This window comes from Homo sapiens, chromosome 1 (genome assembly GCF_000001405.40).
Source record: "Homo sapiens chromosome 1, GRCh38.p14 Primary Assembly".
Taxonomy (NCBI): Eukaryota; Metazoa; Chordata; class Mammalia; order Primates; family Hominidae; genus Homo; species Homo sapiens.
Window position 1 is genome coordinate 153,387,185 of NC_000001.11, and position 22,727 is coordinate 153,409,911.

The following is a 22,727-nucleotide window of genomic DNA, read 5'->3' on the forward strand; positions in this document are numbered from 1 at the left end:
CTGTTACTATCTTTTCTCTTGTGAGTTCCCCTAAATGTTGAGTTGACCTGAGATGTGGCTTGGTGAACCCTGGAACCTTTCCCACCTTTTTTAGCCTGGGCCACATTCAGGTCAGCTGCTCACCTTTGCACTATATATTGGAGAAAACTATAGCAAGATCACTGTGGTGTCTCTCAGAGCTCCATAATCTCCGTTTCTGCAATGCGGAGTGTATTCCACACTCCTGACTTAAGCAGAAGCACTGGCTTGGGAGGATGGATAGATATCCTTCAGCAAAACTGAGAAGAAAGTAATTTAATGCCTAGGCCTTCCTCCTTGCCCCAGCAGAAGCCCATCTCCACATTCTGATGACTAAATTTTCCCATCCCATCTTAGATGCCAATCTTAACTTTCAGCTGGCTGCCAACCATTTTCACTAATATGTTAGCTGATAACACATAAAATTGACTGGTAATTAAAAATATTGGTGAATAAGGGCTTAAACTATTACCTTTCCCTGCTCATTTATATTTTATATGATTAAGGCCTACTACAAGAAAAAGCCCAGTGACCTGAACTGAGTAATCTTCAGCACTGGAAACCAGTTAATCTGAGTGGCATTTTGCTAATGGTAGGAAAAGGGTTTGCTCCTCCTGAAATCCTAGGGAATTGGTTACCTCCTCTTCTCCTCTTGAGCATGAAGCATGTCTAGCTTCTCCAAAGAACCCCTCCCCTCCACTATCCCAGAGTTAGCTTCCTCTCTTCAGCCCATGATCCTGGGGTTCCAAGCACAGTAATTATCCCAGAGAGGGTGGAAGGCTCCCTGCTGTATTTAGTAACTCGCCCCGCAAAGAATCAATTGACAGCAAGTCCAACAGTGCACTTCCAAGGGGAATCAAAAGCACTGGGATAGGTTGCACTCCCGCCCTGACATACACACACACGTGCACAGACCCCACCATACCCCACCATAAGTACTGGTAGCTTTTTCTCCCCTCTTCAGCCCATTTGAATTTAGACTGAATTCCCCTAGGCAGGAGGGCAGAAAATGGGCTGGGTTCTGGACCCAATCAAAATTGTTCTGGTTCCCTAGTGGAGGAATAAACAGGAAAATATTTTCCATTGAAATAAGGTCTTTTGTTCAGCCACTGTATACTGTACTTAGGCAATGGCTGGGGCCCTTGTGCGGTGCAGAGGGACACCAAGCAGCTTCCATCTTCCAGGCCGGGGTGTATCCTTAGCTTCACAGAGCAGGAAAGCTGTGGAGGACTGTGGGCAGCAGGGTAGGAACTGATTTAGCCCTTGGCAACAACACACGTCCCCACAAAGCATACACCCACCCACCCACCCAGCACAACAATAGCAATAAAAATACTCCAATCTTTGGCCAGGTGTGGTGTGGATCACACCTGTAATCTCAGCACTTTGGGAGGCCAAGGTAGGAGGATCGCTTGAGTCCAGGAGTTTGAGACTAGCCTGGGCAACATAGCAAGTTTCCATCTCTACAAAAAAATAATTTAAAAATTAGCCAAGGGCAGTGGCTCATGCCTGTAGTCCCAGCTACTAAAGAGGCTGAGGTGGGAGGATTACTTGAGCCCAGGTGTTCGAGGCTACAGTGAGCCATGATCATGCCATTGTACTCTAGTCCACGTGACAGAGCAAGACCCTGTGTCTCAAAAAAAAAAAAAAAAAAAGAGAGAGAGACAGAGAGAAATACTCTGCCATTTGTTACTAAAAACCAGTAAGCAGGACAAGTGTTCTTAACCTTTTTGAGGTGTTGGGCCTTTTCGAGACTCTGATGGAAGCCGTGGAGGAATGTTCTCAGTGCGTCACTCAAAATGATGCACACAACTTCAACCCAATTTCAGAGATGTATAGACAGACAAGTTAAGAACCCTGGTTTAGTGATTCTGGTGACAGCTTCCTACCTTTTTACCCATCACTAACACCACTGCCCCAGCACCTAAGTGAGGACAACAGAAAATTCCCCACACCACAGCATGAAAATCCAGTTTGGGGTGACATTCTTGTCAAAAGGTTCCCCTTCATTTTCTTCTTTTTTTAATGTCCACCTCAGAGAAGAACCACTCGTCTTCTGGCCTTCCCCTTGTACCAGCCCTTGGGAAGTATTTTTTAGATAATTTTCTGATCACCAAAGCATAGAATCCCATAGGGCAGCGTATGAATAACCTATTCTTTGACTTAAGTTTTACTAATTTATTTTCCTATTTGCCTATTCCTTTATCATTTAATTGAGTTGGGAGTTTGGGAGTGGAGAGGGAGGAAAAATTTTCAAAATCCCCAAGGACAAACTACAGGTATGTGGACAGGTGTGAGGATTATCCTGTTAATGGAGGACTCTGAACATTGTCCACCTACATCACACCACACACACAATCAGCCTCTCCCCCCTTCCCTCTCTTGCTCTCTTTCTGTCTGTCTCTCTCTCACACACACACACACAGACACACACACACACACCCACACACTTCTATGTAGCTATCACTCTAATTTCCCAAGAGCCACATCTAAGACATTTAGCTGGAAGCTAAAATTTAGCTTAGAGAACAGTATCAGTTGTTCTTATACTACCACCCTGTTCCCAAATCCCCGACCCATTTCAGAACCACTAGTAAAATCATCAGCTATAGTGTCATGGACTTTTTGGAATCCTTAAGCCTCAAATCCAATGGCTCAAGATGGAGGGGCTGGAAGGGAATGTGGGGCAGAGGCCAGGTGAGGGGTAAAGCAGGAAAGGCTTGTGAGAGGTAGGGTGGGATAACATAGATTTCTTTTTCTTCCTTTGGGTTTTCCAACCCTCCCTCCACACCGAGGAACCTCATTCCACAAAAGCATAAGAGAGAGGCATGAGGTATTGATGACTTTATTATTCTGCAGGTACATGTCCAGGGGCCCAGCCTCTGGGCCCAGTAACTCAGCTACTCTTTGTGGCTTTCTTCATGGCTTTTTTTGTGGGCTGCCACGCCCATCTTTATCACCAGAATGAGGAACTCCTGGAAGTTAACTGCACCATCAGTGTTGATATCCAACTCTTTGAACCAGACGTCTGCACCCTTTTTCTGTCAAGATTGAGGAGGAAGAAGCCAGAGTTTAAAGATCTCAGAGAGAGCCGAGGCATAGCCATCTATGAAGGGTGGCAGGGAGGACCGCTGGCCCAGGGCAGCCCCAGGACCAGGCAGAGAGCCCCCGCCACACCCAGCCCCTCCTCACCCTGATATACTGAGGACACTCGGTCTCTAGCAATTTCTTCAGGTCATCCCTGTAGACGGCATGGAAATTCCCCTTTATCAGGGAGTACTTGTGGTAGACGTCGATGATAGAGTTCAAGGCTTTCTCCAGCTCGGTCAACATGATGCCCACGGACTTGCCCCACCTGAAAAACAGAACCTTCTGGGGAATCCCATGGCAGGGAATTTGCATCTGGCCAGGGCAGTACGCAGAGGATTCATGCCCCAAGCGATGGCCTTGTCCTGGCCTGCACTCTCCAAATAACCAAACCAGCAGATGGCTATGGCTCTGGTGGGAAGGGTGGGATGATAGGGATACACGTGTGGGAAGGGGAAGGGTCCATTCACACAGAGACATGTGCACACACACGGGGCCCGTAGACTTTCCTTACCACCCCACCCTCTGCTCAAGAAAAGTCCAGCCTAGGAGACAATGTGCCCTTACCCACTGGAAGGTGCTGGAGGATACTCTCCTTCCTTATCCCTGCCTCACTCCCCACCTCCAGGAGTATCTTTGCTCCAGACCTCCCTGAGCTTTCTCTCTCCTCTCTCAGGAAGGCTGCTCCACTTCCCTGACCCTCCCCAAGAGAAGCCCAAAGTGCGGGGCCAACCCAGACAGTCCCACTTACCAGGTCTTCTGAAAGACAGCTGACAAGAGACATGCAGGGCTGAGAGGCAGCTCCTTTTTATAGCGGTTAGGCTTGGCCAGCTGCCCACAGCTTCAGGCCATCAGAGACAGCTTCTCCCTGCCAGAGTTGCTACAGTCTCTGGTTTCTCAACCAGGTGAATGTGGCAATCACTGTGCAGAATGAAAATTTTGGGTGGGGAGGTAGGAGAAGCGGAAAGAGGAAGGCATTTGCTGGGCAATAGTGCCCAGAAGGAAAAAGCAGGTAGGGGGGCTCTTTTTCTGGGCTGCTGGCATCCACTTGCTTGATCCAGCCAGATTCCCACTCCCATGCCCTCTCCACTATTGCGATTGCTAATCCCCTGCATTGGTGGTCAGGCCATACATCCCTGAAACTGAATTGAAGTTGAATGCATCATTTTGAGTGCATGCACTCAGTGAGAACATTCCTCCATGGCTTCTGTCAGAGTTTCAAAGGGTCCAAAGACCGCAAAAGGGTTGAGAACACGTGTCCTGGCTGATGGCTTTTAGTCATGAGAACTATTGTTCTCATTACTAAAAACTAAAACTATCGTTGTTGTTCTTTTGGGTGGGTGCTTTGTGGGGAAATGTGTTGTTGCCAAGGGCTATATCCATTCCTACCCTGCTGCCCACACTCCTCCACAGCTTTCCTGTTCTGTGAAGCTGGGGATGGACCATGCCCTGGGAGATGGAGGCTGCTTGGGGTCCCTCGGCACTTCACAAGGGCCTGAGCCATTGCATAAACACAGCAGGGAGCCTTTCACCCTCTCTTGGTTAATTATTGTGTCTGGGACCCCAGGATCACTGGCTGAAGAGAGGAAGCTAACTCTGAGGTAGTGGAGGGGAAGAGTTCTTTGGAGAAGCCAGACGCGCTTCATGCCTAAGAGGAGAAGAGGAGGTGGCCAATTCCCCAGGATTTCAGGAGGAACAAATCCTCTCCCCACCACTAACAAAATGCTACTCAGATTAACTGGCTTCCAACCTTGAAGACTGTGGTGTGTTTCTGTTGTTACAAAGAAAATATTTGTAAAACAAATATCTGATAAGGGATTAATATCCAGAATATAAAAGAATCCCTACAACTCAACAACAAAAAACAAACAAACCAATCAAAAATTGGGGAAAAGACTCAAATAGACACTTCTCCGAAGAAGATATACAAATGGTCAATAAGCATATGAAAATTACTAATCTTTAGGAAAACATGAAGCAAAACGACAATGAGATACCACCTGACACCTACAAGGATGACTACTACTTCTTTTAAAACCCAGAAAACAAGTGTTGGTGAGGGCATAGAGAATTGGAAGCCTAATGCACTGTTAGTGGGAATGTAAAATAGTGCAGCTGTTATGGAAAACGGCAAGTTTGTTCCTCAAATAAATAAACACAGAATTACCATATGATCCATCATTCTGCTCCTGGGTATATATGCAAAAGAATTGAATGCAGGGATTCAAACAGATGTTTGTACATTCATGTTCATAGCAGCATTATTTACAAGAGCCAAAAGGTGGAAGCAACCCAAGTGTCCCTCAACACATGAATGGATGAAGAAAATGTTTTGTGGGGACATGTGTTGTTGCCGAGGGCTAAATCCATTCCTACCCTGCTGCCCACACTCCTCCACAGCTCTCCTGTTCTGTGAAGCTGGGGATCCACCGTGCCCTGGGAGATGGAGGCTGCTTGGGGTCCCTCTGCATTGCACAAGGGCATGAGCCATTGCATAAACATAGCAGGGAGTCTTTCACCCTCCAAAATAAATCCAGCTCTCTCTGGATGTGAGCCATTGGGGACCCAGCACAGTGCCCAGCACACACAATAACAGCAGCCACAATCACTGATCAGAGCAAATCATGACAAAATACTAGTTCACACTCACTGAGCTTTTCCCATGTCCGGGAACTATTCTAAGTGCTGCTTTATTTGCATTGATCATTTAATTCTCACACTAATCCAATGACGTATGTACTATTATAATGCCCATTGTACAGATGAGGAAACTAAGCCCCACAGAGAGACATAGTAATTCAGCGTATCAAATGATTGAGTGACTCATGATGTGATGTGACAGCATCCACTTCCTATTCCTGCCTGTAATGCCTTTTGTCCCTGTAATGTCCTCCTCACCATTCCTGATCCAGCTCAGGCATCATCTGCTCCAAGTCCATCCCTGATCCACCTGCCCTCACCCCATCAAGGCAGAATTAGTTCTTCTCTCCTCCATGCTACCCAAATCCTTACCCATCACAGCATTTGCCCTGCTATGTTATGATTCACTTGTTTATTGTCTGTCTTTTCTTTGGGACCAGGAGACCATTTAGAAAAGAAATCACATTTCTTTTCACAACCCTAGGGCCTGGCAGCTACTACATGTTCAATTAATACTTATTGAGGGATAAATGAATACAAAATTAAGTTTGACCCTTCCCTTATCCAAGGCAGAAATTCTCTTTATCACAATCAGCCATCTTAAATCATTTCTGGAAGAAGGCAGGGTATAAATTCATCAAACAAATGCAGTCTGACTTCCTTGACAAAAGATGAATCAAGCTCCATCTAGGAAAACAACGCCATTTCTGACATGACAAGTTTTCAACCAAGGATCCACCCTTGGTTAATACCTATTATTCACCACGTACTATCCTATGTGACCAGCATAACAGCACCTGCCTCAAAGCACCATATCATATTTTCAAAGTATTTTGCATCCACTGACTCATTTGATATTCCCAGCAACCTAGTGATGTGGACATTACAAGTATAATTATCCCTATTTGACAGATGGGGAAACTGAGGCACAGGGCATTACTTCAGGTCCTTCCCCTGGTCCAGTGAGGGAGTCCTGAGTGGTGACCTCCTTCCCACATCATGTACAGGCTGACCAGCAAGATCGTGAAATGTCGCCCCCTCCCCAGAAACTGCGCCCCTGGACAGCCTTGGGTGCTTTGGGGACAGCAGGAGCCAGGCTGAACTGACCTTGCAGCAAAAGGTATCAGGACTTGGGTAAGCACATCTGGGGAAAGGCAGAGGCTGTAAGCAGCCTAGCGGACATGGGGCAACCTAGAGGGAGCGGAACCTGGTCATGTTTACAGGAAAGGGCTCAGTCCCTGGGTGTGTCCCAACAGACCTGACAGGTCCATCCCTGAGGCCAAGGAAATGAGGACAGAGCAGGCAGAGCTGGTGAAGAAACCCCCAGAAGGGGGCAGGAGAGGGCAGGGAGGGCTCAGGCTGGGTGCCCCTGCTTCGTACTCAATGCCTGTGGAGCCCAGCACTTCTCAGGTGAGACAGGTATTTCTCCCCTGGGCCTGCAAGAAGAGTGGCCAAAGTAACTCAGGCGATGGTCTTCATGCCTCTAGACACAGCCAGGGGCCTGCAGGAAGGAGCACAGATCTAGGTCATCAATTCCAGCCCCACAGGCCCCAATTCTGCATTCCTTCCCCAAACACCTGCTGAGCGTTTATGGGGACACTGAGGTCCTGTCTCGGCGGAGAGTACAAAACAAGCACAGTGTGGCAGAAGATGCCCTTCCACAGGAAAGAATGCAAAGGGGAATGGGGTGCAGACATCTCCCAAGGAATGGAGGGCCCAGCTAGGTCCTGAAAGGCAAACTAAGCTGATGGCAAGTGTGGGAGGGACAGCAGGCCAGGCCCGGAGCAGCAGGGGCAAATTCTGCCCCAGAGCCTGACTGATGAGAAACAAGGTCTCCAGCTCAGCTCCAGGGACAATCCACCATGTTTGGCGCAAAGGACCAGGTGGGGAGGGAACCAGACCAAGTTTCTTAAGTGACCCTGCAGTCCTGTGCGCAGGTGGTATATCACCCCCCAACACTCTTTCAAAATCCATGATTTCTATCTCAGTAAGCTCAGGACACCGGTTCCCAGACCAACCCTCAGAAAAGACAACCCTCTAAAGTGGGCTCTGGCATTTCCTGAAGGCAGAGGAGACCCTCCCTAAGGGATTCTGCATTAGATCCCTAGAGTCCCAGGGGAGAGGAAAAGGAAAAAGAAACAGAGCAAGGGCAGGGACAGGTCTCAGGTGGGTGGGGTCAGGGATACCGGAGGACTCAGATCAGTGGTTCATGAATAGCCCTGGGTCAGGAGTAACCCTCACATCCATCATCATGTTGTAGAAAAAAACAGACCCAACCCTTCTCTCCCTCAGGAAGCCTTCCTGGGTTGACTGTCACCCAGGTTCTACTCATTGCTCTTCCCTTAACATGTGTCTGTGGTTCTGCCAGGCTGGATTGTTGGCTCAGCTCCTGTCAGTGTCTGACTCAGCATGTGCAAACCCAGCACACAATATTCCCTGCAGACTGGCTCCCACCCAGGCACCGAGGTCCCATGCCAATCGCCAGCACCTGAAACCTCCACCTCATTCTGGATCCTCCTCTCCCTCAGTCTGCGCCCAGGTCTGGACCTTGATGTTCTGCCTTTTCTGATGCCGCCTCCCTCCCTTCCGTCCCCATGAAGCTGTTTACCTCCTCGTCACAGCCTCTAGCCAGGCTGTGCAGGTCTGATCTGTCTTCCTCCACCCCAAACCCCTACCACTAGTTTCCTAAAGCACAGAGCTGGTCCCAGGGCCCTCGCCCCTTCCCCACACTTAACAACTAAGGATCCCTTACCAAAAGGATAAAGTCCAAATTCCAATGCTCAGTTTTCAGGGACTTCCAGACTCTGGTCCTAACCCACCCATTCAAGCTGACTTCCTACTGTTTTCTCCATGAACACTAATTTCCAAGCAAAATTTCTGTTGCTCCTAGACATACTTTATGATTTTCTACTGTTGTTCCCTCTGCTAGAAATGCACCTGCCTCCCGATCCTGGTCTCTTCCCAGGCTCAGCCCCACCCTTGTTCACTGATTCTTGGGGCTCTCTTTCAGAGCAGGGATGCTGTCGGAGCGGCATGTTAGTTCACCCCTACCCTCACCCCTGTGCTACCACCTGTGTGGTGGGTGAGTGAGTGACCACAAGCGAGGCCTCGCTATCTCCCCAAGAGAGGAGACTCTTCCTTCTCAGGCTGAACACTGCGGGTGGGGACTGTCTCCCTATCAGATAGGGCCCCCTGGAATCAGAGGTGGTGTCTCTCCCATCCAATATAAACTCCCTAGAGGAATAAGCTGTGTCTCCTCCTCAGACAGGGACTCCCTGGAGATAGGAGCTGTGTCTCCCCCTCAAAAAGGGGCTCCCTGGAGATAGAAGCTGTTTCTTCCCCTCAGACAGGGGCTCCCTGGAGGCAAGGGCTATTTCGTTGATCTAAAATGGATCTTTCCCAGCTTGGGACCGAAACTTCTTTTTCTGGATTGTAGGTGAAGCCCAGAACCATATACTGACAAATCCTTGGAAATATGTATGAAATTGCTTTATTCTCTCTCACATTGATGTCCTTTCCACAGACATGTACACACATGTGCACACACACACAGGGACACACACAGACACACACAGCTGTGTTCTCCATTCAGCTCCTGATATCAAGGTCACACCTCCTCCTGGGTCCGGCACCGGTGGGCAGGAGGCTGCCTGAGCTCCCTCTAGTAGAGGCTGTGTTGGGCACAGTAGCGGGCACACAGCTGCTGGTGGTAGTGCAGGTGGTAGTCCTTCACCAGCTTGCCCAAGATGTAGAGGAACTCATCGAAGCAGATCTGGTTGTCCTTGTTCTTGTCTGCGGCCTGGAACAACTCTGTGATATAGTATGGCTCCTTCCGGCCCTGAGAAGTGGGCAGAGCATCAACAACCCACCCAGGCATACAGCCCACCTGCCAGGCTCCCCACTGCCCACTGGGAGGGGATGGGGTAACTGTGGCCTGGCCTTGCCTGCAAGGAAATGACTCCTCACTCCAATCGTCAGTGACTAGGACTCTGAATGCTGCAAAGAGACAGGGGCATAGTTGGTGCCCCTAGTTGGTGCCCCCATAACCGAGCCTGGAGCTAGCTGCATGTGTGCAGACAAAGGAGGTAAACTGGGCACCATTGATGGTTTACTGTCTGCAGTGCCCGAGAAGCACTAGCATCCCAGACGACTTCGCATCCACTGGCAGTAGCTGTTTATACTTCTCTTCACAGCTGAACTGGAGGCTCCTCTGGAGAAACACCCCAGCCAGGGCTTCCTCAAGGCAGGGCAGTGCCTTCCTCCTCCACACTGGGAGCTCCCCAAGAGCAGAGTCGACCTGGCCCTCGAGTCTGCATCCCCAGCGCTGCTGCAAGGCTGGTGCCCAGGGGGTCAGAGGTTTGCATGCCTGTGCATTTGCCTGCATCAGGAGCAATTCCCAGGCAGATGGTCAGCATGCGAACCTCTGAACCCCTGGGTGCTGGGCCCACATAGAGCGCAGAACAAGGGAAAGGACAAAGCCAGGAGCCCTGGAGCTGTCCAGGTTGTTCCGAGGCAGGCGGCCCAGATGTGACCCTGAGGGCTGAGAAATGGGGATGGTAGGGGAGAGGAAAGAGGCATTTGAGGTGGAAGGAACAGCATGAAGAAAGTCAGGGGCCAGAGCACAGCACGGGGACAGAGTGGGAAGAGACAAGGTGGGCATCGGGAGCACTGGGCAGGGCGGGTGAGGCAGCTTTCAGCAAGATTTGGCTGGTGGGCATGAGGACCAGTGTGAAGCCCTAGAAACCATCTGGGGGAAGCAGCTGTGGACAGGTTTGCAGCCTCTCTCTCCCCTCAGGGCCCACCCCCACCACCTGTTCCTGTGATCTTAACTGTTCCACAAAGCTGGTTACCCAGAGAGGAGCTGGAGGCTTCCTGCCCGGGACAGGCTCTCCCAGCTTCCCTCACCTCGGCCCACCTTCCCCAGGGCCGCCTTCTGTGTCCAGGTTCTATCCCCGCAAGGGCCCCGTACCCAGGCGGGGCTGTGACCCCCATGAGTGCAGGGTCCGGGCCATCCTGGTACAGTTTGCCCTGGAAAGGACAAGGTTTCCTGGAAACAGGACCACCAACAATCACTTCCCCCTCACTCCGTCCCTCTCTACAACCCTCAGAGTAACACTCCAGTAAGCAGAGGCAAGGCTGGGGAGATGGGAAGTGACTGAAGAAGAGCCTTTTCCTGGATGGAGTGGCCTTGAGTCAGGATGGACCAGAAGTCCTCTGGAGATGACAGTCCAGACACCCCAGGGCATGGATAGACAGCAGCACCCCACAGACACCCTTGCAGGCCCCAAGGAGCCCAGTAATCATGGGTCTACGTTTGATGACAAAGAAGATGGGCAGGGCCTGAGGGCTGTCTAAGCCCGGATTTGGGTGCTGGGCCTGTCCAGGTCTGAGAGACTCTGGGGATAAGAGGTGGAAGGGGAAGTAATGTTTCCTAACCCCACCCCACCCTACTCCCACCCTGGTTAGGGGGGCCACCGCAGTCCCTGCTATCCTTCCCCCGGGCATGGATCCCACCTCTCTTCCTGCTGCCACCACACTGTGCCACCCTCTCCAGAGGGAGTCCCCATGCCATCAGCACCATCCCTTCAGCCCTCACATTCCCATGGCCCTCCCAGAGCCTCTGTGCAGCTCCTCTCTGGTGCTCTGATGCCTGTGACCTCCCACTCCCCACTTCCTCTGGAGATGAGACAAGATCACCCTGTCAGATCAGCAGTGCTCCCTGGACTCTACAGATAGGAATCAGGACAACTGCTGCTTCCACCGCTCATGGAGCCAGCCAGGCACCAGGTAAGCACTTTATACAAATTATCCCGTATCCCACGTAACCCTCACGTGGGCCATAGAAAGCAAGCATATTTACCCCCAGTTTCCTAAGGGGGAAATGAAACCCAGAGAGGATAAGTAATTTCCCCAAGATCACACAATGATCCACTTGGAGCTTCGTTCAAACCCATGTCTTTGGGAACAAGCCCAAAGGCATGCTTTCAGTTCCAGTCCTACACCCGCCTTGGGCCACGATTGTGCTGTTGGGATGCCCATCCACACTGTACGTGTTCTCCAAACAGGTAAACTGTCCCCACCTCTGCTTTTTAGAACCTGCACAGATCCAACACAAACCCTCACCCCCACAATTCTCTTGGAAGAGGCACTGACCTGTCACTGTTGGGGTGAGTATCCAAATCCACAGATCCAGCCTGTAGTTGATCCCAGAGATTCCCCAACGCTCAGGCAGGAGGCACCTGTGTGAGCCGCGAACCCACCACCAAGCCCCACATCCCACCCATCCTCAATGCCTCCAATTATGGCAGCCAGTGTTGTGATGCTTCACAGGTCCTTCAGGAGCAGGACTGAGCCTTAATTGCATTCCTGAGGTGACATCACAACACTTAACTTGCTAAGATTAACTCAACCAGTTTCAGGGGCCCACATCCCTTGGAGCAGGATCTGAAGCATCTAAGAATCACAAAAGGTCCCATTATCTGTCTCCCTGCCTCAGAGCTTGTCCTCTCAGCTCCAGGGCTTGGGTGGGGTCAGACACACACTTAACTACATCTCCCTGGGGTGTCCTCCCTCCATTAGTGAACCCCCAAACTCCACTGTCATGAAGCACATTCATTCCTTCATTCATTCAACGAATATTCTTGAGTACCTACAGTGTGCCAGGCCTTCTGCTAGGCAATATGCATCAGATACAGGGCCAGCTCACAGGGTGGGGACATGTGAGGGGACAGTCACACACTGTCACTAGGCACATGGAAGCCAACTGAGTGACACAGACAGGTGCTCCAGGCACCCAGAAAGGGACACCTTCCACCTGGGGAGTTGGGGGGGACTTCCTTAGGGAGGCGATATTTCAGCTGCGACTTGAAGAGACATTTTGAGTTGCAAGGAGGAAAGGAGAACCAGGCACTCTAGACAGAGGATATGGCACAGGCAAAGGCCCGGGGCTGTAAAAGAGCGCGGCCCCCTCAGGGGATGGAGTCCACAGGGTGCACAATGAGAAGTTAGAAGAAACAAGGCTGGAGAGGCAGGAGGGAGACAAGACCGGAAGACCCTGTGCCAAGCTACAACTGTGACTTTATCCTATCCAGCTCATAGTCTGTCAGTGGAGGCAGACATCTAGCCAAAACTCCAAGGTACTGTACTTAGAAAAGCACCACAGACTTGGTGCCAAACACGCATCTCCCACCTCACAACCCCCACTACCCATGGCCAGGGCAAGACTGTGATACACAAACAAGAGAGGAAGCTAATAGAGGATTTTTTAAATCAGTTGGGTGATGGACGGGAGGTGAAAGAGAAGTGGTAGAACCAGATTTGTTTACTAGTAAATCACCGACTGCAATGTGGAAGTCACCCTACTCTGAGAGGGGCCAGACCTTCAGGCTCGACATCCCTACAGATGCTACCTGGGCCCCTGAGTGAGTGACAGGTGGGGTCCCCTCTGCCAACTCACCCCAACACAAGACTTCTCCCAGCCGGCCCCTTCTACTTGGCCCCATTTCACCCCACACAGCTCCCTTGGGAGGGCCTGCACAGGCTGATGACTGAATCTTCCAGAATGGGGCGCCAAAGGGCAGGTCATCAAACCAGAGACTCCATCTATGCATCTCTGAAGGCTGGAGAGAAAATCATAGGTAGATACCGAAGCCAACAGCTTTTCCAGTTTGCTGGGTGAGCCTTCATCTACTCAACATAAAGATTTCCCCAGCAAACAAGTGGTTCATCAATACACTTTCCTGTTTCTAAACTAAAAACATGGCTTGAATTTCTCAGCATTGCCAAGCTAGAGCTACAAAAAATTGTATCGAATTCTTTGGTTCAGCCATCATTACCCTGGCAATTTCTCCCAAAACAATTAATTAAACAGATATTTTAAAAATCATCAGGAAAATGTCCACCATTGCAATATCCATAACCAAGAAACAAAAATAAAAGCAAAACCTTAAAACTATCTAATTAACAAATTTGGTATACCCATATGGCTTACTGTTGGACAATTGCTGGATAACAGCTTGTTGTTTAGAAGAAACTTCATTTCTGACCTATGGCTGGGGATGGGGGGCAGACTGCACTCCTTTTCACCCTACCTTTTGTTCACTCTGGGACAAAACAGCCCCCTACGCCATGCCAATACCCAGTGATGATCCCTTGCACAGCTGCGCTGTAACTGCACTTTTTGCTTAATGTTATGCTGTGGACATCTCACATGCTTAATCAATGCTAGCCTGATTTTTGGCGAGTACATAGCGATCATCTGTTTGCATTTATCAAAATTTGTCTTATGAATCCATTATTGTTAGACATTAAATTACTTTTATTTATACATTTTAATGTCAACTCTTCCTTAATGTTTATCAGAATTTTGCCACGTGTTAGGTGCTAGGTGCACCTGTGCTAGGTGCTGTGGAGAAAGGGGGCGGAAATGAATTGAATAACATTCTGCCTTCCAGAAACTCATAGTCTGTAGGTGGAGACAGACATTTGGCCAAAACTTCAGGTTACTGTACTTAGAAAAGAACCATAAACATGGTGCCAAGCATGCATCTCCCATGTCACAACCCAACCACCCATGGCCAGGACTAAGATTGTGATCTTGACAAACACAGTCTTCATGTCTTTCCAGTGTGCAGACCAGACACTGAAAACAATGTCCCGTGACATCCAGAAGCCAGTACAGCAAAGGAGTAGCGCTTTCTGGTGAAATTGAGAAAGGAGGTTACCCGAAACTGGCCCTGAAGCACCCCCATCCCCGCTTCGGCCGCACCCAGGGTTTTAGACACCTCAAGAATTGGAAATACTTCAAGCAGGATAATATTCAATTTCTGACTAAGAGGGCGGTGAGGTGGTGGTGAAGAGGATCAAGTAATTACCTTAAAAATTAAAGAAATCTCATATGGTACTTGAGACGATGAATCGGGTTATACTGATGGAATATTTAGGGATTTTTGCCAGTTCTTACCAGTGTATATCTATTTTCTTTTTTCCAGACCTTTTTTATCTTTAGGATTAGAGCAACCTGATATCCCAGTCAACAGCCTCAAGAGTATCTGAAATGTGTGTTAGATGGGCTGTGCTTGAAGGGGGAGCTGCTAGATGCATTAGAATCCTCACAGAAAATGTGATAAAGAGAAAGAAAGGGTACATTATTGCCGTGTAGAGAAAAAGAATAGGATTTGAGCATAGGGAGTCCCTAGGCTGCTTCTGTAGGACCAGGAGGCTGCTGGAGAGTGAGAAGATGATTAACAGTATTAAGTTCTTCCTCTTTGCTGAGCACTGCTCCATGGGCTTTACATCCACCCATTCATCTCATCTTCTTAACAATTGCTGAAAAAGCCCAAGGAATGACAATTACAGGAGCATGCTGGGGACACAGCTAGTAATGCAGAGGCACATTTCTAACCCAGGCCCATGGGCCCCACATACCTGTTCTCAACCACTACATTACCTTGTCCCCGAATAACAGGAAATCCAACCTTAGGGAGAGCAGGAGAAGGGCCCCATGGTTAGAGGAAAGAGCTGGAACAGAGGTGCTCAGGTAGGAGCCAGCCTGGGCTGACAGAGGGGCAGAAAGAAGGGCTGGAGTGGTGTAAATGGAGCCCAGAAAGACAGGAGATGAGGTCTGAGGGGCAGGCAGAGGACAAGCCAACGAGGACTTTGCAAAATTTGGACTTTAAGCAGGATGGGAAGCCACTAAAAGTTTTTAGTAAGGGATATGCCATGTTCATAGCAGCTTTACATGCTATTGTAAAGCTGATAGTTCTCCCAAACGTAACCTATAGATTCAGTGCAATCCCAGTCCCAAAGTCCTTGCTGGAATTTTTGTAGAAATTGACAAGTTAACTGTAAAAAGTATATAGACAGGCCAAGAATAGCCAAGGGAATCATGAAAAAGAAAAGACATGGGAGGATCTACAGTACTAGATGTTAAGATTTATCATAACAGCTCCGGTAACTAAGATACTGCCTGGCTGGTTCAAGGACAGTCACATAGATCAACAGAACTAAATAGAGGTCTGAGAAAAAGACACACACGTATGGTATATTTATTCTGTGACAAAAGTGGCACTGCTGAGCACAAGCTTTTCAATACATTTTACTGGATCAACTGGATGCTCATGCTCATGAAACTAGACCACACAAGCAGACAAAATGACAATTCCAAGTGGATTGTAGGTCTAACTGTGGAAAGTAAAGTCATAAAGCCTCAGTAGCATATGCAAAGATATTCAAGACCTCAGTCTTGAAGATTTACTTCTATATTTTCTTCTAAGAGTTTTAGTTTTAGCTCTTATGTGTAGGGCTGTGACCTATTCTGAGTTAATTTGTGTGTATGAAGGAAGGAAGGGGTCCAGCTTCATTATTTTGCATGTGGCTGTCCACTTGTCCCAGCATCATGTGTTGGAAAGACTATTCTTTCTCCATTGAATTGGCTTGGCGGGCTTGTTGAAAATCAATTGACTGTGAATGTGAAGGCTGAGAACACTTTATCATGAACTGTTAGCTTCACCTATGTAAAGATATCTTCTCTCTGCTCTACCTCCTGTCGAAATCTGACACGACTCTTGCTCAAAACAAGCTTTGTTTCCTGAGTTCCGTGGCCTTGTCTCATGTGGAGCAATCATGTCACATTAACCCCCTCCCCACCCCCACTCCACGTCCACCCTGTGGGCCACGGCCCTGCCCTTTCCCAGCTGTTTTATGATCTGCTTTTTCAATTAGGACTATGTTTAAAACATCTCCCCAGTTCTTAAATATTTTTGAGTGATTGATTCCAAATAGCTACATTATATGGAATTCCAGAACCATTCTGACTAACAACACTTTTGACGCCAAATGTGTGGGGGTTATATTTCCTTTTTTTAAAATCCCCACACCAACCAATTCTCCAACACTCTGAACACCATCGGGGTATCGTGCAATTCCGTTCTGATCCTAACTACCAAGAGTTAGCACAGACCCCACAAGGTGAAGGCTCAGCCCCACAACACTGCCCCCACTGCAGATGCCAATCGCAGCACCTGACCGCCCATACTTCTGACTGACTGGCTAAAATTGGAGGTTCCTACAAACCCCCTCCTCAGGTTAGATAATCTGCTACAAGAGTTCACAGGACTCAGGGAGGCACTTTACTCATGATTACTGGTTTATTACAAAGAGTACAACTCAGGAAAAGCCACGTGGAAGAGACACACAGGGCCATGTATGAGGGGCAGCATGGAGCTCCCAGGCCCACTCCAGGAGCCCACCCTTCCGGCACCCCACCTGCTCAGCAGCCCTACAGTTCTCTGAACCCCATCGTTTGGGGTTTCTATGGCAGTCACTTCATTTAGGCATAGTTGATTAAATAATTGGCCACTGGTGATTGAAGTCCTTCCCCAGCCGCTCTGTGGAGGCCCAGTGTGGGGCTGAAAGCTCCAGCCCTCTAATCACATGGTTGCTTCCTCTGGCAACCAGCCCCATCCTGAAGCTATCTAGGGGTCCACCAAGAGTCACCTCATTAGCACACACTCAGCATGACTGGAAGGGGATTGTTATGAATAACAAAAGATGCTCCCTCTCCCCTGTCATTCAGGAGATTCCAAGGATTTCAGACGCTCGGTGTCAGGAACAGGGACAAAGACCAAATGTCCATTTCGTATCATCACAGGGATTCCATGTGTATAGGCATCAAGATTTACTTAACCCACCATTACTAAAAATTTAATTATTTTTATCTCTTCCTGTTTCTACCACTTGATTAACAATTGTGTCCCCAATATACTATTTTATGCAGTGTCCTCTGGTAAGCATTGGAGAGAGAAAAGAATACAAATTAAGTAAGAAAAGCCCTCTGCCTTTCAGAAGCTTTTGGTGAAGATCTCTTTTTTTAACAGGTGCAAGATTGGTGCCCGACGTGGGACTCACAACCTACAGAAGGGCGGGAACCACGAAGGACCCAGCCACGTGGTACTGCCTCCGGCGACAACCAGGGCGAGGTGGGTGCTCGGTGGCGCCACCGTGTGGAAGCTTGGGAAACAGAAAACCAATTCTCTGCACTCAGGGCCAGAGTTTTGTCCTGGGCCTCTGACTGGGGCCAACTGTAACAGGAACAGCCCTTACAGTGTAAGTCAGAATCCTACAGTCCTCCTTGGCCAAGGAGCCTTCCTGGAGTCCCCCCCACCCCGCACTGCTTTCTCCAGCTTGCCAGTTTTACCTACACGGCCCAGCCTCGTCTTAAAATTGGGCGAGATGAGGAATGATCATTGCCAACTTGAAATTTGGTTGAACAGATACATTTCTCAGGGTACGCTTGGGTCACTTCCTAGCACTGTCTGTGTATGCGGCCTCCGAGAAAGCAACCTCCCTTATCAGGCTAACAGAATTGACAGTAAATCCTCCCAGCAAACCCATTCGACAGGATGGTGGGTGTTAGTCCAAACTGCACCATTTTGTAAGCCCCCTGCCATTTTGCGGACCCTGGTCAGAGTGAAACATTCCATGTGGATTCAGGCCGTGAGAAACATCCTGCCTAACCACCTGACCGCAAGGCACAAGAGCATCCTTATCATACCCTGCTGGGCAAAGGCGCAACTGAAGGAACATCCCCATCATATCCTGCGGGGCAAAGGTCCAAGAAACAGCCTATCACATCCCGCTGGAAAAAGGTCCAAACCGCCTGATCACAGGAACATCTTATCAATATCCTCCCGGCGAGCTAGCCATACTGCCCAGACCCCCACCTAGACCTATAAATTACCCCAGCCTGTAAGCGGCAGGGGGCTCTGGCATTAAGCTTGTCCCCCACCTCCTCAGGTCTTGTGCTGGACATAAAACCTGCATTTCCATAGAGCCACCAACTCTCTCTGTGTCTTTTTTTAACCCTTGCCTTCCCTTCAAAACCTAACAGTGGGACCACAGGCTCTGGGCTGCAGCTGGGTGTTCTCATCCTCCAGTGTGGATGGCTCACAGCAGAACTGAGTCCTAATAACCTCTTGTGAATGCTGCAGAACTCTCTCTCTGTCTCTCTGTCCCGCTCCCCCAACTGCTGCACGAGTCCAGAGATGCAGCTGGCCAGCACCACCCAGAAGGACCCCAAACAGAACAGCTGGCTGTCTTGGAACATTCCCGTGGCTCCCTCTGCCCTGTCCCTCTCACCGTGGCTCCTGGAAGTGCTCTATGGCCTATTGAAAGGATGCCCCTACAAAGCTTCCCCTGGTTCCCCCACCTGAAAAGTGATTTCTCCTCTTCCAAATTCCCACACACTTTATCTGAACCTTTTTGAAGACACCTGCCTCACTTGCTAGTTTGGCCAATGTTTATGGAGTTCTCTGCACTGGAGGCTGGGGGCACAATATAAGACATGGCTGGGCGGCAGCAAACATAGCATATGTGTGGCCAGGGCTGTCACTGAGACATGCAGGGACATGGGGATGATGGCTCTGCCTGGAGAAGGCTTCACAGAGAAAGTGACCACTGAACTGCCTGGGGACCTGGGGGCTTCCGGGCTCTGTCCCACTCTACTCTCTCACCACCCAGTGCCTTATATTGGAGTTCTCTCCTGGGGCCAGAGCATTGCTCAAAGCATGGTCCACATCCACTCCATCTCCCTGCCACCCTGACACCTGCACACCCAGAACAGAGTCAGCACTCACAGCATAAATGAATGGATAAAATACAGCAAAAAGAACAAATTGCTTTCTGTCCTCTTCCCCCAGCAACTTGAGATCTTCTAGAGACCCAGGAGTATGTTGCTTCTACTTCAGGCTGGGGAGAGGCGAGCTCCCCAAAACGATAGAGGAGATGAAGATATCAACCAGCCAAATTCCTGTTCACAATCAGCCTGTTGTGAGCTCTCCTGGGGGATCAGCAGTGGCTGGGAGGTTGGATGTGTGATAGGATGGGGTGGGTTTATGGAGAGTGTTTGTTCCAGACATGACACAGGGGAAAGGCTCACAGGGTTCAACCTGATGAGCAGGTGCAAAAGATAAGGCCCCTATTAAAGCTAATTTGCTAAGATTTTGATTTTAGCAAAAACAAATGATCAGTTTTTTGGATGTCTCAAATATGTTTGATATTTTTGGAGAGGTTCCAAGATGGCCGAATAGGAACAGCTCCAGTCTACAGCTCCCAGCGAAGCAGAAGACAGGTGATTTCTGCATTTCCAACTGAGGTACCGGGTTCATCTCACTGGGGCTTGTCAGACAGTGGGAGCAATACAGTGGATGCAGCCCACAGAGCATGAGCTGAAGCAGGGTGAGCATCACCTCACCCAGGAAGCACAAGGGGCCAGGGAATACTTTTCATAGCCAAGGGAAGCCGTGACAGACGGCACCTGGAAAATCAGGTCACTCCCACCCTAATACTGTGCTTTTTCAGTGGTCTTAGCAAACAGCACACCAGGAGATCATATCCCGTGCCTGGCTCGGACAGTCCCACACTCACAGAGCCTCGCTCACTGCTAGCACAGCAGTGTGATATCAAACTGCACGGCGGCAGTGAGGCTGGGGGCAGGGTGCCCGCCATTTCTGAGGCTTGAGTAGGTAAACAAAGCAGCCAGGAAGCGCGAACTGGGTGGAGCCCACCACAGCTAAAGGAGGTCTGCCTGCCTCGGTAGACTCCACCTCTGTGGGCAGGGCATAGCTGAACAAAAGGCAGCAGAAACTTCTGCAGGCTTAAGCGTCCCTGTTTGACAGCTTTGAAGAGAGTAGTGGTTCTCCAAGCACGGAGTTTGAGATCTGAGAACTGACAGACTGCCTCCTCAAGTGGGTCCTTGACCCCCAAGCAGCCTAACTGGGAGGTACCTCCCAGCAGGGGCCAACTGACACCTCATACAGCCAGGTGCCCCTCTGAGACAAAGCTTCCAGAGGAACAATCAGGAACCAACATTTGCCATTCTGCAATATTTGCTGTTCTGCAGCCTCCGCTGGTGACACCCAGGCAAACAGGGTCTGGAGTGGACCTCCAGCAAATTCCAACAGACCTGCAGCTGAGGGTCCTGACTGTTAGAAGGAAAACTAACAAACAGAAAGGACATCCACGCCAAAACTCCATCTGTACGTCACCATCATAAAAGACCAAAGGTAGATAAAACCACAAAGATGGGGAGAAGCCAGAGCAGAAAAGCTGAAAACTCTAAAAATCAGAGCACCTCTTCTCCTCCAAAGGAACGCAGCTCCTCACCAGCAACGGAACAAAGTTGGATGGAGAATGACTTTGACGAGTTGAGAGAAGAAGGCTTCAGATGATCAGTAATAACAAACTTCTCCGAGCTAAAGGAGTTTGTTCAAACCCATCGCAAAGAAGCTAAAAACTTTGAAAAAAAGATTAAATGAATGGCTAACTAGAATAGACAGCATAGAGAAGACCTTAAATGACCTGATGGAGCTGAAAACCATGGCACGAGAACTACATGACTCATGCACAAGCTTCAGTAGCCAATTTGATCAACAGGAAGAAAGGGTAGCAGTGATTGCAGATCAAATGAATGAAATGAAGTGAGAAGAGAAGTTTAGAGAAAAAAGAGTAAAAAGAAATGGACAAAGCCTCCAAGAAATATGGGACTATGTGAAAAGACCAAATCTAAGTCTGCTTGGTGTACATGAAAGTGAGGAGGAGAATGGAACCAAGCTGGAAAACAGTCTGCAGGATATTATCCAGGAGAACTTCCCCAATCTAGCAAGGCAGGCTAACATTCAAATTCAGGAAATACAGAGAGGGCCACAAAGATACTCCTCGAAAAGAGCAACTACAAGACACATAATTGTCAGATTCACCAAAGTTGAAATGAAGGAAAAAATCTTAAGGGCAGCCAGAGAGAAAGCTCAGGGTACCCACAAAGGGAAGCCCATCACACTAACAGAGGATCTCTTGGCAGAAACTCTACAAGCCAGAAGAGAGTCGGGGCCAATATTCAACATTCTTAAAGAAAAGAATTTTCAACCCAGAATTTCATATCCAGCCAAATTAAGCTTCATAAGTGGAGGAGAAATAAAATCCTTTACAGACAAGCAAATGCTGAGAGATTTTGTCACCACCAGGCCTGCCTTACAAGAGCTCCTGAAGGAAGCACTAAACATGGAAAGGAACAACCGTTACCAGCCACTACAAAAACATGCCAAACTGTAAAGACCATTGATGCTAGGAAGAAACTGCATCAACTAACGAGCAAAATAACCAGCTAACATCATAATGACAGGATCAAATTCACACATAACAATATTAACCTTAAATGTAAATGGGCTAAATGCTCCAATTAAAAGACACAGACTGGCAAATTGGATAAAGAGTCAAGACCCATCAGTGTGCTGTATTCAGGAGACCTATCTCAGGTGGAGAGATACACATAGGCTCAAAATAAAGGGATGAAGGAAGACCTACCAAGCAAAAGGAAAGCAAAAAAAAGCAGTGCTTGCAATCCTAGTCTCTGATAAAACAGACTTTAAACCAACAAAGAACAGACGCGACAAAGAAGGCCATTACATAGTGGTAAAGGGGTCAATTCAACAAGAAGAGCTAACTATCCTAAATATATATGCACCCAATACAGGAACACCCAGATTCATAAAGCAAGTCCATAGAGACCTACAAAGAGACTTAGACTCCCACACAATAATAATGGGAGACTTTAATACCCCACTGTCAACATTAGACAGATCAATAAGACAGAAAGTTAACAAGGATATCCAGCTCTGCACCAAGCAGACCTAATAGACATCTACAGAACTCTCCACCCCACATCAACAGAATATGCATTCTTCTCAGCACCACGTCACATTTATTCCATCACATTTATTCCAAAAATTACCACATAGTTGCAAGTAAAGCACTCCTCAGCAAATGTAAAAGAACAGAAGTTATAACAAACTGTCTCTCAGACCACAGTGCAATCAAACTAGAACTCAGGATTAAGAATCTCACTCAAAACCACTCAACTACATGGAAACTGAACAACCTCCTCCTGAATGACTACTGGGTACATAATGAAATGAAGGCAGAAATAA

General features: G+C 48.6%; 1 protein-coding gene and 1 pseudogene across 5 annotated transcripts in view, besides 1 other annotated feature; both read right to left on the bottom strand.

Moving 5' to 3' along the window:
* S100A8 (S100 calcium binding protein A8) overlaps positions 2,848-22,727 on the bottom strand; it is a 32,552-nt gene continuing 12,672 nt past the window's right edge. The window contains exons 1-3 of one of the 5 annotated variants that reach the window (NM_001319197.1): positions 3,857-4,004; positions 3,211-3,387; positions 2,848-3,059 (exon numbers count right to left, since the gene is read on the bottom strand). In NM_001319197.1, coding sequence (NP_001306126.1) covers positions 2,919-3,059; positions 3,211-3,387; positions 3,857-3,889 — 351 coding nt within the window. In that variant the 5' untranslated portion in view covers positions 3,890-4,004 and the 3' untranslated portion in view covers positions 2,848-2,918. Of the gene's footprint in view, positions 3,060-3,210; positions 3,391-3,672; positions 3,793-3,856; positions 4,005-22,727 lie in introns of those variants that run through there. The other 4 variants (NM_001319196.1, NM_002964.5, NM_001319201.2 and 1 more) reach the window with 4 other exon arrangements.
* Positions 2,896-3,096: a silencer, noted in NCBI's record as "peak414 fragment used in MPRA reporter construct". NCBI's record gives its function as "represses an SCP1 promoter by STARR-seq MPRAs in K562 erythroleukemia cells {active_cell/tissue: K562}" and the evidence as "EXISTENCE:reporter gene assay evidence [ECO:0000049][PMID:32103011]".
* S100A15A (S100 calcium binding protein A15A (pseudogene)) lies at positions 9,407-9,587 on the bottom strand (annotated as a pseudogene).